The sequence below is a fragment of the Homo sapiens genome, chromosome 21 (genome assembly GCF_000001405.40).
Source record: "Homo sapiens chromosome 21, GRCh38.p14 Primary Assembly".
Classification (NCBI taxonomy): Eukaryota; Metazoa; Chordata; class Mammalia; order Primates; family Hominidae; genus Homo; species Homo sapiens.
In genome coordinates, this window is record NC_000021.9 from 9,146,718 (window position 1) to 9,160,661 (window position 13,944).

General features: G+C 40.5%; 1 annotated feature.

The window, feature by feature from the left end:
- Window positions 3,293-3,475: a silencer, noted in NCBI's record as "fragment chr21:9988843-9989025 (GRCh37/hg19 assembly coordinates)". NCBI's record gives its function as "represses an EF-1alpha promoter that drives an FKBP-Casp9 reporter gene in an ReSE screen in K562 erythroleukemia cells {active_cell/tissue: K562}" and the evidence as "EXISTENCE:reporter gene assay evidence [ECO:0000049][PMID:32094911]".

Here is a 13,944-nt window from a genome sequence, read left to right on the forward strand (position 1 = left end):
ATTTCATAATTTAGAATTATGTGTTCCTAAAACATATTTTTTAAGATGGATTTTCGCTCTTGTTGCCCAGGCTGGAGTGCAGTGGTGTGATCTCAGCTCACTGCAATCTCCGCCCCCCAGGTTCAAGTAATTCTCCTGCCTCAGCCTCCCGAGTAGCTGGGATTACAGGAACCCACCACCACACCTGGCTAATTTTTTGTATTTTTTAGTAGAGATGAGGTTTCACCATGTTGATCAGGCTGGTCTTGAGCTCCTGACCTCGGGTGAGCCACCCGCCTTGGCCTCCCAAAGTGCAGGGATTACAGACGTGAGCCACAGTGCCTGGGCTAAAACATAAGTTTTAAATTGGAAATAACCCAGATATTTAATGAGTATCTATTATTTAATTTAACATAACTAAAATTTCAAAAATAGGCTGGGCATGGTGGCTCACACCTGTAATCCCAACACTTTAGGAGGCCTAGGCAGGAGTATCATGAAACCAGCCTGAGAAAACTAGTGAGATGCTGACTCTACAAAAAAAATAAAAGTTAGCTGACCATGGTGGTGTATGCCTGTAATTAACAGCTACATGGGAGGCTGAGGTGGGAGGATCCCTTGAGTGCAGAAGGTCAAGGTTGCAGTGAGTTGTGATCATGCCACTGCACTTCAGCATGGGTGACAGACAGAGACACTGTCTCAAAAAAATTTCAAAAATACATTAAGATGTCTTGTATAGACATTTATCCATTTACATTTACTTATTTTTGACAGTTTATCTAGAGTATTTGTGAGAACTGAGGTATTAGACAAAGCTAGTCATCATTTCTAGGTTATTTTCTTGTTAACCATGTTATAGCCTGTGAATATCAGGTGTTCACGTAAGTGAGGACTTCAAAGTTAAATACATGGGTATTTTACCAATAACTCAGAAAATTCCATTATTTTTGTTCAACAAACCATATTAAATTGGTCTTATGTATTTAAAAAATCACATAAACAAATATTCTTTTTTCCTGTGTTTATAGCTTTATAACCTTCATGCCAAACCCTAGCACCTTAAAATATCTAGCAAATGTAAATATAAAACACAGTCAAAAATGTATGCTGACAAGTCTGAAGAGATTTCTATTTTCTATTTTTATTTTATCAATACTTTTTAAATTATTTGTATTTATAAAAGAACTCTTTTGTCTGGGCACAGTGGTTCATGCCTGTATCCCAGCACTTTGAGAGGCTGAGGCAAGAGGATCACTTGAGCTCAGGAGTTTGAGACCAGCCTGGGCAACATAGTGAGACCCAATCTCTACTAAGAATAAGATAAAAAATTGCCAGGCATGGTGGTGCGTGCCTATTGTCCCAGCTACTAGAGAGGATGAGGCAGGAGGATTGCTTGAGCCTGGGAGGTTGAGATAACAGTGAGCTATGATCCCACTACTGCACTCCAGTCTGGGGAACAGAGTGAGACCTTAGAGTGAGACCTTGTCTCAAAAAGAGAAAAAAATAAAGAATTGTTTCATTCTTTTGTTTTTCTTCAGCCAAGTGACCTTGAATTAGTAACACCACAGACAGTAAGTCTTATCTCAACACCAGTAGACAAATCAGCAGATTCAAAGTAGGCAGGGAAAAAAAAAAGATAGGCAAAAGAACTGAGACTTTTTCACTTTAGGGTTTTTAAAAATAGTAACTATTTGAGTTCTGAATTTTCTTTCATGTAATTTGGCCATCAGGTTTAAAGTGTGCACTAGAGGTCAGGTGCAGTGGCTCATGAGTGTAATCCCAACACTATCGGAGGCTGAGGCAGGTGGATCACTTGAGGCCAGGAGTTTGAGACCAGCCTGGCCAATGTGACAAAACCCCATCTCTACTGAATATACAAAAATTAACTGGGTGTGGTAGTGTCCACCTGTAGTCCCAGCTATTCAGGAGGCTGAGGAAGGATAATTGCTCAAACCTGGGAGGCGGAGGTTGCAGTGAGCCGCGATTGTACCACCATACTCCATCCTGGGCAACAGAGCAAGACTCTGTGTCAAAAAGAAAAAGGAAAAAAAAAGTATATATATATGTATAGGCTGGGCACAGCGGCTCATGCCTGTAATCCCAGCAGTTTGGGAGGCCAAGACGGGTGGATCACTTGAGATCAGGAGTTTGAGACCAGCCTGGCCAACATGGTGAAACTTCATCTCTACTAAAACCACAAAAATTAGCCGGGTATGGTGGCGCACACCTGTAATCGCAGCTACTCAGGAGGCTGAGACAGGAGAATTGCTCGAACCTGGGAAGTGGAGGTTGCAGTGAGCCAAGATCACACCACTGCACTCCAGCATGGGCAACAGAGCAAGACTCTGTCTCAAAAAAATGTGTGTGTGTATGTGTGTGTGTGTGTGTGTATGTGTGTGGCTAGAATGGTCCATAATATATAGCCAGCTCGAGTCCCAGAAAACCTAGCAAGCTTAAGGTTAGAGCTTCTCATTTTGGCCTTTTCAAGATTAAATCTCCTTTAGTAGACCCTTCCCCTCTAGGGAGGTACTTGCCGGAGCGCTGCCTGAAGTTGGTTTTCTGATGCCCTGTTGTTTCTGTTCTGAATGGTTTATTTCTCATTATAAGAGCTCAGCAAAGCAGGCAGAGTTAAAAAGCAGAGACATGAAGGCTTTAAAATCATGGACTTCACTCCTACACTGAATCTCAGGTCCCCAGAAAGACAGAAACACCATGGGACCACAGCAAAGGCAGAAGGAGGAGTGAGAGAGGGAGGTGGACAGAACAACAAACAGGAGTTGGCTCTCATTTTTTCACGCGTGCCATTTTCTTTAGGTTTTTCTAGTTTATGGAGACTCTTTGTTCCAGTTGAGCACACAGATAAACTAGAGATCTCACAAGGCTTTTGCTGAGAACATCAAAGCCTTTAACCTCTGTTGGGCCAAATATTTAGACCAAAAATACAGACAGACACACAAAAGCCAGAACCGGACCAGATTGAGTAGCTTAGTGGCTACAGCCTTTATTCCCTTTATTCTTTAGGATACGAACTCAAACCAGATTCAGGGTTCTAACCCAACCAGGACCCCCCTGGGGTGAAACTGAAACCCCACAGTCTAGACAAGGTTGGGGGTCTTTTTTTATTTTTTTGAGATGGAGTTTCACTCTTGTTGCCCAGGCTGGAGTGCAATGGTGCAATATTGCCTCACCGCAACCTCCGCATCTCAGGTTTAAGCACTTATCCTGCCTCAGCCTCCCAAGCTGGGATTACAGGCTTGTGCCACCACGCCCAGCTCATTTTGCATTTTTAGTAGAGACGGGGTTTCTCCATGTTGGTCAGGCTGGTCTCGAACTCCCAACCTCAGGTGATCCGCACACCTAAGCCTCCCAAAGTGTTGACATTACAGGCATGAGCCACCGTGCCCGGCCTGCTTGTTCTTTTCATTTCATCCTGATCTCCGAATACAGGAGAGTAGCTGATTTGGTGTTCACTAACAAGCACAGAAGCTTTGTTACATTTACAGTGTCATTCTTGGCAAAACCTGAAGTTTTGCCTCCTGGATTCATGCCATTCTCCTGCCTCAGCCTCCTGAGTAGCTGGGACTATAGGCGCCCGCCACCTCACCCAGCTAATTTTTTGTATTTTTAGTAGAGACGGGGTTTTGCCGTGTTAGCCAGGATGGTCTCGATCTCCTGACCTTGTGATCCGCCCACCTCGGCCTTCCAGAGTGCTGGGATTACAGGCGTGAGCCACCGCGCCCAGCCAGAAGCTCTAATTTCAATGATGATTGTGCTTTTTCTCTCTTCCTCAGCATCTGGCTCATGATAAAATTTCAGGTGTCTTGATGGTATCTAAATCAGTTGTTGATTCAGTCCTGGAGAAACACAAGCATAACCTCTATGCCAAGTTATAATTTTACCTATTTCCCAACTTTTTGTTATTGGATCTCTCCACCAAACCAGTTGGTCTGCTTCTGTCTTTGCAGCTGGTTTCTGTAGATGCTGTTCAGCTGCTGGTAACATCTGGCCTTTGGGCAGGCTCAAAAATTTGAAAGTTAATAATGCAAGATTCAATTGTGTATGGGCTATCCCGTAATCCCTGTTTCTCCCCATTTTTTGTTTTTATTATCAGTTGTTCATCTGTATGAAATCTTAACTGAGCATTTTCAATTAACTGTGTGGAATGACCCATGTATGAAGAATCAGAAATCACATTAACAGGCATATCAAAAGCAGTCAACACCTCAATTACAGCTACAAGCTCCGCCTTTTGAGCTGAAGTATAGGGTGTCTGGAAAACTTTAGCTTTTGATCCAGAATAAGAACCTTTACCATTACTAGACCCATCTGTGAAACAATGAAAACGCTTAGCAGGCTGCAGGTTGTTTACTGCAGGAATTGTAAATGCAAACCGTTCACAGTCTTGCTCAGCTAAAAGGGTAGTAAAGAAACAGTCTTTTAAATCTGTGACTATTAAAGGCCAATTTTTTGGAATTATAGTAGAGAAGGGAATCCTGGCTGTTATATTTCCATAGGTTGTATAACTGAATTGATGGCTCTTAAGTCAGTTAACATTTTCCATTTACCTGATTTTTTCTTAATTATGAAAACTGGAGAATTCCAAGGGGAAAATGTTGGAGCTATGTGCCCATTTTCTAATTGTTCAGTAACTAATTTCTCTAAAGCATCCAGTTTCCCTTTGCTTAGCAGCCATTATTCTATCCAAATTGGCTTATCTGTTAACCATTTTAAAGGTATAGGTTCTGGAGGCTTAACTATGGCCACCATCAAAAATGGTATCCTAATCTTTGGCAGGAACTTTGTCTTTCCGTTTGAAGCAGTTCTTTCAAACCTTGCAATTTTTTTTCTACTCCTATACCAGGGACATGCCCCATTTTGTGCATCATATGTTGACTTTGAGGGCTGTATAATTGTTATGGAATTAGAACTTGTGCTCCCCATTGTCATAATAAATATCTCCCCCATAAATTTATAGGTACAGAAGTTGCAATTGGTTGAACAGTCCCAGGTTGTCCATTGGGCCCTTCACAATGCAAAGTATAGCTACTCTGATACACTTCTGGAGCTTTAGCAGTTTCCACTGTGTTAAATTGAGTGGGCTGAATTGGCCACATGGATGGCCAGTGCTGTAGAGAAATAATTGAAATGTCCACTCCTACCAAAAAAAAAAAAAAATAGTATCTACCAAACCTTTAAAGTTCTTTCCATGGATAGTTATTTCACAGATAGGATGTTTATCAGTAATTTGATTTACCCAATAAGCTGCCTTGCCTTTTTTATTTGTGCTTCCAAATCCTCCAGTTCATTTAATTTCACTTTTTCCCATTCCCACATACGGCACACTCAGGAGCTGTGCTATGCGCACTCCTGGCTGTGCTTTCCAGGGAACAGAACTAAATATCACAATTTGAATTTCCTCATTGTAATCTGAATCAATGACTCCAGTGTGTATTTGTACCCCTTTTAAACTTAAACTAGACCTTCCTAAAAGTAATCCCATTGTCCCTGCTCGCAACGGTCCACAGACTCCTGTTGGGACCTTTTGCGGGGGTGCCCCAGGCAGAAGGCTCACAGCTTTTGTGCAGCATAGATCTACTGCAGCACTATGGGCTGTGGTGGGGAAAGATAATGTATGGGGGTGAGGGAATGGCCTGAGATGGAAATGCCCTGGTTTAGAACAGGGCCTGGGATGGGCCTCTCAGGGAGTTTTCCAAAATCGGGTTCCCTTCTTTATCAAACTTAGAGTGACACTGATTAGCCCAAAGTTTTCCTTTTTTACATTTTGGACATATTTCAGGATCAGCAGTTTTGTTTTTTCCCCTATCTGGTGGCCTGACTAGGTGATTTTTTTTTTTTACATTCTTTTTAGTATGACCATGCTTCCCACAGTTAAAACAAGCTCCAGGAAATAGAGTATTTCGTTTATCCACTCTCAGTCCTGCCATCGCCTGTGCCAACAAAGTAGCTTTATGTAGATTATCTCTGATATCATCACAGGCCTTGTTATAATCAACTAAATGTGCTTTCCCTCTGATAGGTCGCAGAGCAGCCTGGCAATAAGGATTAGCATTGTCAAAACCAATAACTGCAACACTATATCCTAAGCAGCCAAATCTGCAATCATCTTTTTAAGAGACTCCTGTAACCAAGCTATAAAATCCACATATGGTTCTCTTGGTCCCTGTTTTATAGCACTAAAGGAAGGGTATTGTTCTCCACATGAAGTGATTTATTCCAAGCTCTAATGCACACTCCTCTAAGCTGTTCTATGGCATCATCCTGCATGACCACTTGTGCATGTAAACCAGCCCAGCCACCAACCCCCAAAAGTTGGTCTGCAGTTATATTAATTTGAGGTTGGGCCCAGGCATTGCGAGCAGCCTGAATGGAAGCTTCATCTGCCTACTAAGTTTTAAATTGTAAGAACTGAGCAGGAGTTAGACAAGCTAGAGTGAAAGTGTCCCAGTCAGTAGGAATCATCCGACTGGAAACAGCAACATTCTTTAACAGTCCCATTTCAAAAGGAGAACCTGGTCCATACTGATTTATAGCTTGTTTAATTTTTTTGAGTAATTTAAAAGGAAAAGGCTCAAATGTAGCTATAATATTTCCCTGTTGATCTGGGGGGTGTATTCAAACAGGGAACTGCCAAGCCTCTAAATCCCACTTTTGTCTAGCTTGCTGTATTCCTGCCTGAATAGAACTAAGAGCAGTCGCTCAAGGCGCTGCTCGAACAGTCACCAGGGCAACTACTTTTCACCCAGTGTCCTCCAGAAAAGAAAGATCTGGAGGGTCGTTTTCTTCAAAATAGTAATGAGGGTGTGCAGAAGGATAGGGATGAACCTCTCCCTCCTTTTCTGCTTTAGCTTTAGGTGACAAATAAACCTGGTCTGTAACCTCTACTGTTACTTTGTTATACTCTCCTTCCTCCTCATCATCAGTGTGAAAAAGTTCCAAGGTAGAACGAACCACAGCCCACACTTGTCCTATTGCTACCCTGATGCTTCCGAGCTCCCCTTCTTACTCACCACGGGGATTGCTTTAAGAGTACTCGGGTGTCCTCCAGCTAGTTCCACATTCTCCAATCGTTGCTCCAGCGATCCTTTGACCTGTATTTGAGCCCCCATGAATGGGCACCACTTGCTGAGACCAGGTCTGTTGGAGAGACCCTAACCCAGCAGCACTAGAGGAATTAAAGACACACACACAGAAATATAGAGGTGTGAAGTGGGAAATCGGGGGGGGGGGGGCGGGTCTTACAGCCTTCAGAGCAGAGCCCTGAACAGAGATTTACCCACGTATTTATTAACAGCAAGCCAGTCATTAGCATTGTTTCTATAGATATTAGATTAACTTAAAGTATCCCTTATTCTTAAGGCACAGATCACTCATGCTATCGTTTGTGGCTTAAGAATGCCTTTAAGTGGTTTTCCACCCTGGACGGGCCAGGTATTCCTTGTTCTCATTCCAGTAAACCCACAACCTTCCAGCCTGGGTGTTATGGCCATCATGAACATGTCACAGTGCTGCAGAGATTTTGTTTATGGCCAGTTTTGGGGCCAGTTTATGGCCGGATTTGGGGAGGCTTGTTCCCAACAGTTCCTCAGTGTAAGGGTGCCCTAACTCCTGTGGGGACCTTCTTTGGTGGCTCCCCAGGAAGTAAGGAGATGGGAATTGTGCTGTAGAGGTCTACAGCAGCACTGCTTGCTGAGGCGGGGGACAATTGCTGTACATATGTAAGGGCAGTGGCTGTGCTGGGTATGCCTCAGTTTGTTGAGGGGCTTGAGGCGGGTCCCTCTTCCTATTTCCTGAAAGAGGTTGTCCATCTTTGCTAAATTTAGAATGACACGGACTTGCCCAGTGATTGCCTTTCTTACACCAGGGACGTACGTTGGGACTTTTCTGTTGATTGATGGTAGTAGTTTTCGTCTTTTGAATTCCTTTCTACATTCCTTTCTTGTGTCCAATTTGCCCACAATTAAGTCAAGAGCCTGAGAAATGAAGCATATTTTTTCTTACTCTTAATCTAGCCACAGCCTGAGCTAAAAGAATAACCTTATGTAAGTTATCTCCAATGCCATCGCAAGCCTTAATATATTTAGTTAAATGGGCCCTCTCTGTCTGGGATCTAATAGCAGTTTGACACTCTGCATTAGCATTATTGTACGCAAGAAGCTGTATTACAACATCCTGAGCTGTTTTGATCATTTGCGGCTTTATACACAGCCTCTTGGAGCTGAGCAATAAAATTAATATATGGTTCTTTAGGTCCTTGTCAGACAGAACTGAAATAAGGATACTTTTCCCCGGTAACATTTATCCTTTTCTATGTATGTAAGCACATGAAGCACAGCTGAACAATGGCAACATCTTCCATTAGTGCTTGATTCTCTAATCAACCCCAGTTAGGGCCAACTCATATTAACTGATCAAAGAAAACAGGCACAGGTGGCTGCACTTGTGTGTTTTCTTTTGCCTGAGTTTGAGCTTCATCAGCCTACCAAGTTTTAAACTGCAAGTACTGAGATGGAGTGAGAACAGGTTTTGTCAAAGTATCCTAATTATATGGTAGTAATCTATTATCAAGAGCCATATTTTTAAATAAAGTTTGCACAAAAAGAGAGTTCAGTCCATATTGACTAATGGCTTGCTTAAATTCTTTAGTAACTTAAAAGAGAAAGCAGCCTAATTAGCTATATTCTGTCCTACTTGCTGGATTATAGTAACGGGAAATTGCCATGCTTCAAGGTCTCCCTTGGCTTTAGCTTTTTGAATAGAATTTTGTCTACCACCACCAATTGCTCCAGGTTTTAATGTTGTAACTACAGGAGCAGTAAGTTTTTCAGCTAATTTATTTTCTCACCCATTTAGAGGAGAGAGAGGAGGTGGCCATTCACTTAATTCAGCAGGTGGAGCCAACGGGCTAGTAAAACATACTTTTAAAAGTTTTTCTTTCTTTTCTTTAATCTCGTCTGGTAGCTGCTCCCCACACTCAGAATTTGAAGTTAGTTTTTTACACTCATCCTCCTCTTCCTCATCTGAGTCTGCCTCATCATCTGTTTGAAATGGCTCAAGGGCTGCCTTTATTAGTGCCCACACTGACCATACAGAAACTAGAATTTCTGCTCCATCTTTATATGTCTTTTAAAAAATCTCTTCCAATTCTCTCCCATTCATCCAACTTCATAGTCCTTTGTTCTGGAAACCATGGGCAAAACTGCTTTACTGTACTAAAGAGTGATAACAAATTCTAAGTACTAATTTTCATTCCCCATCTTTGTATGTCCTCGGGTGTCTTTTGATGTTGTGTCCTCTGCTTTCACATGCTCCAGCCTTCCTTCACCGGGTCTTTGTCACCCCATGTTGGGCGCCAGGAATGTTGGGGTGATCAGACCCAACACTAGGTCATGGGGGTGATGAAGTCCGGCAGAGTCAAAGGAATGAGAAAAAGACAGTTTGAGAGAGAAAGTGGGACCAGGAGACCATCACGAGTGTGGAGCCTGCAAAGTCCCCAAGCTCTGGGAGCCTACGCTATTTGTTGGTGCTCAAACAAACAGGTGGAGAGGATTTAGGGGTTGAAAGGAAACGGTGTATCAAGTGAATGAGAAACATATGGCCCTGCCTCAGCTTCTCTTCCAACACTCAGCTTTTCTCCCAACACATTCCCCTTATGAACAGGAATAAAATAGGGATGCCTGTTCTCACCACTCCTGTTTAACAAGTCCTAGCCAGAGCAATCAGGCAAGAGAAAGCTATAAAAGGCATCCAAATAGGAAATGAAGTCAAATTATCTCTCTTCACTGATGATATGATTCTACACCTAGAAATCCCTAAAGACTGTGCCAAAAGGCTCCTAGAACTGATAAAAAAAACTTCAGCAAACTTTGAGGATTAAAAAAAATTAACATATAGAAAGAAGTATCATTTCTGTACACCAAAAATGTTTAAACTGAGAGGTAACTCAAGAGTGCAATCCTGTTTACAAGAGCAACCCCCAAAATAAAATAAAAGAAAAGAAGAATATGTCTAAGCAAGGAGGTAAAGGATATCTAAAAGGAGAACTACGAAACACTGCAGAAAGAAATCATAGATGACAAAGCAAATGGAAAACTATTCCATGCTCATGGATTAGAAAGATCAATATTGTTAAAATGGCTATACTGCCAAAAGCAATCTACACATTCAACACTATTCCTATGAAACAACCAATGTCGTTTTTCACAGAATTAGAAAAAAAATATTCTAAATTTCATATGGATTTTTAAAGAGCCCAGACAACCAAAGGAAACCTAAGCAAGAAGAACAAAGCTGGAGACATCACATTACTTGACTTCATACTATACCCTAAGGCCACAATAGACAAAATAGCATGGTAGCGATATGAAAACAGACACAAAGACCAATGAAACAGAATAGAGAACCCGAAAATAAACATGCACCTACAGCCATCAGCTTTCCCAGGGTAACACAAAGAGAGCCAAGTGGCACCTGCACATTACGCTGTGGAAGAAAAACCCAAGCTCAAGAAACCTCAACTTGTATTATGGGAAGTTCACTTGGCTGTACCCTTCCCAAGAGGGAGAAATTATCTGCATTATACTAGACAGTAAATAAACTTTTCCTTTGTTCCAGAAGGAGGTACTGGTTTTCTATTCCAAGGCTGTTTTCTATACAAACATGCTTGAAAACAATCATTTGGAACAAGAAAGTCAGCGTCCATACTTGCAAAATGTGTGGAAATCAAAGAGACCCAAAAACTGTTTCTCTACCAATTTCTATTTTTTTAAAATCACATTTTCCCCATATAATAAGCTTTTAATATGTGTTAATATTCTGAAATTGTCTTAGCATTTACCCCCATTTCTGAGTCCTGAAGGATACAATAAATTTAATTTAATTTAGTAACACTTCAAATAGTAGTGATTGTAATAGCAGAGCTAGTTTGTAGCATAAAGAAAAAATAATAATATTAGGTGACACAAATAATGCTAGCCACCATTTCTAAGTGTCATGGTAAGTACAGTGATTATTTTCTTTTTTTCTGACTCTTTTTTATTGTATTTTTTTATTTTTTTTCCCATAGGTTATTGGGGTACGGTGGTATTTGGTTCGAGTCCATGAATAACTTCTTTACTGGTTATTTGTGAGATTTGGGTGCACCTATCACCCGAACAGTGTACACTGCACCTTATTTGTTATCTTTTATCCCTCGCCCCCCACCCTATTAAATAATAGACAAAAAATAATGGGTTTAGAATAAATGAGTTCAAATGAATTGTCAAACCTATGTGGGAAAAGTGGAATCAGTTTGTGAGAAAAAGGAAAAAACCTCAACAGAAATGCTGATAAAGCATCATCCCTTCATGGCTAGAGCTGCCAGGACACTAGAACACCAAAATCAGCTAGGGAAATTTTGTAGAAGTCCCAGATGTACTAGATGTTCTGTGAATACACAGAGATATAATTATAACTGTTACCTGCATGTAGAGTAAAGATGAGAAGTCATTGGTCATGGTGGCAGCTACCTCAGGAGTTACAAAGCAGACGTGGTTCCAGGACAGTGTATGTCAGGGCAAAGCTGTCCTAGGACGCTATTAGGAGTTGGTTATGGCATAGACATTGTAAGTCAGATGGTCTCATTACTTTCAATGACAAAACCAAAATTACTTTTGTATCAGCCTAATACAACGGCCTGGCAAGAGCACAGAAAAAGTCCCTGTGCTGTTAGGTGGGGACCTCTGATGCAGCACAATTCCTTCATTCCCTTCTCCAAAACCCCCCTCTTCCAATTCCACTGAAGAGAGAATCTGATGGAAGTGCTGTGTAAGTAGGCTCAGATATATCTACCACTATAGATAGTAGAGGTGATTCATAAATCCAAGCCTATCAAATACATCATAAAAAAGTTACACGTTTAATTTTTTTTTGAAATTAGGGATCATGATATAAAAGTTATCAGAATCAAAACTGTCAGTAATCTTTAAAAAGAAAAGAAAAAACCTGGACAAATAGATTCAGAGAAGGCCTTGAAGAGAGGGTTCTCATGCTTCTAGGCCTGATACAAACTGTCACAAAATCCACAACCTTGCACAAAGGCCATAGCAACCTTACACAAAATACACTTCTGTGAGGACATCTATCCAGCAACCACCTGCTCAAACTTCAACTGACATCGACCTTGTTGTTGATCTTTATAGTCAAAGATAACTATAACAAAACAATTATATAAGCCTGTTCATTTTTCCTTTATTTATTTTTTTCTACTCCCCCATAATTCCAGGTTGATCACTTTTCTTTTAAAGACCTTGTCTTCCTTTACCATTTGAATCTACACAGTTTGCTTTGTCATGCATATTCCCATTGCAGTGCCCTCCTCCCTAAGATGTGTCTTTTTCCTTTAGAGAACCTTTCTCTGTTTGTTATTTAGGTTTACAATGAGAAGGCGTGAAAAGTAATTTTACTGTCTTCCTAGGAAAAAATCACTGACTTACAATATTTATATTTATTTATTTACATTCCTGGGGATGAGGAATTAAAGATTTCACAAATTTTCTTATTGAGAAGATCGAAGTTTTCATGTGAGCAAAACTGAATATGTAAATTGATATGTAAATTATGCTGCAGATAATATGCTCAAATGTTTACTTGTATTTAATTTGTTACACATGAATATTGCATATGTAAGATAATATACTAAGAAATTATCACATTTAATGAAATGCTTTAATCAAATTCCTGATTGAATTTTTGATATCAATATCTTTTTCCTTGTTTAATCCATCTTTAGAGTGAACAGGGCTGTCTAGGCCAAAGTCCTCACTTCTATCTAAATTGTCTGAGTTACAGAACTTTTTGAATTTATTATGTTGTCACAGGAAGTTTCTTATTGCTTGTTTAAAGGAGTCGCTCTCAATATGATGCGGAATCCAAAAGCACTGAAGGGCATATATCCTGAGTTTCTGTTACTGAAGCCAAAGGTTGCCAATTTCTTGTAGATCCTGCTAGAGTTAAACTTCATTTAAGTAATCATTAAAAGCTGCATTTATTCCCTCACTTGAACTTTTGATTTCACACTATTAGGACTAATCCTCTAAGTCTTTGCTAAGTTATGTTCCTCCTTTTCTTGTGGCTTGATTCTGATGCTCTCTATATGCAACATCAATTGATGTAAAGTACATTCAGGGTAAGAGAGTTTCTTTAAATATTACTTTGTTATTCAAAATAATCACAAAAGCACTCATCGTAGGAAAACTTGTGAGGACTCAAATATAGGGAAATACTTTTTCTTTCTAAGGCACAATTCTCTAAAGAAGTTCACCTTAATTTGAATATACATGGGAAAATATCCTTGTTCACTAATAGTCTATATTCACTCTGTTTTCTTCCCTCATAGACCAGCCGGTTCACTATTATTTTCCAAATGATGTTTGCCTCTTTAGAGTCCAGGCTATCTGCATATCTACTTTTTCCCACAAATTACTGTTTTGAATTGCACTGAATTCAATTCAAAGGGATGTCATTTATAAACAGTGCAAATATATACTGCACGAGGGATCTTAGAAATCATACACATGGTTTGATCCATAAGCTCATATGAGCGTGCAATGTCAACTTCTTTCATGTTTTTTTAAGTCCACTTAAATTCTATTTTAAGCCACCATCTGCCTGTGCTGTTAGGGCAGTTAGCCTTCAATCATTTTAAGATGCTCCTCTCTAAGTACCGTGATAATGATAGAGATATCACCAGTCAGGTGTCCTAGGAAGCCGACTCCGAGTTGGAGATTTGCATGCAAGGAGGTTGAAATGATATTCCCAACACCTGTGGAAGAGTGAAAGCAATAGGATTGGGCGGAGCAGGAAGTCGGCTAGAATGCAATCACTATCATGGCTGCAGTCCACTCTACAGGGATCTTGGTGAGTTTACCTAATGACCTCGAATTGGAGCAAGAAAACCAGGCCATTATA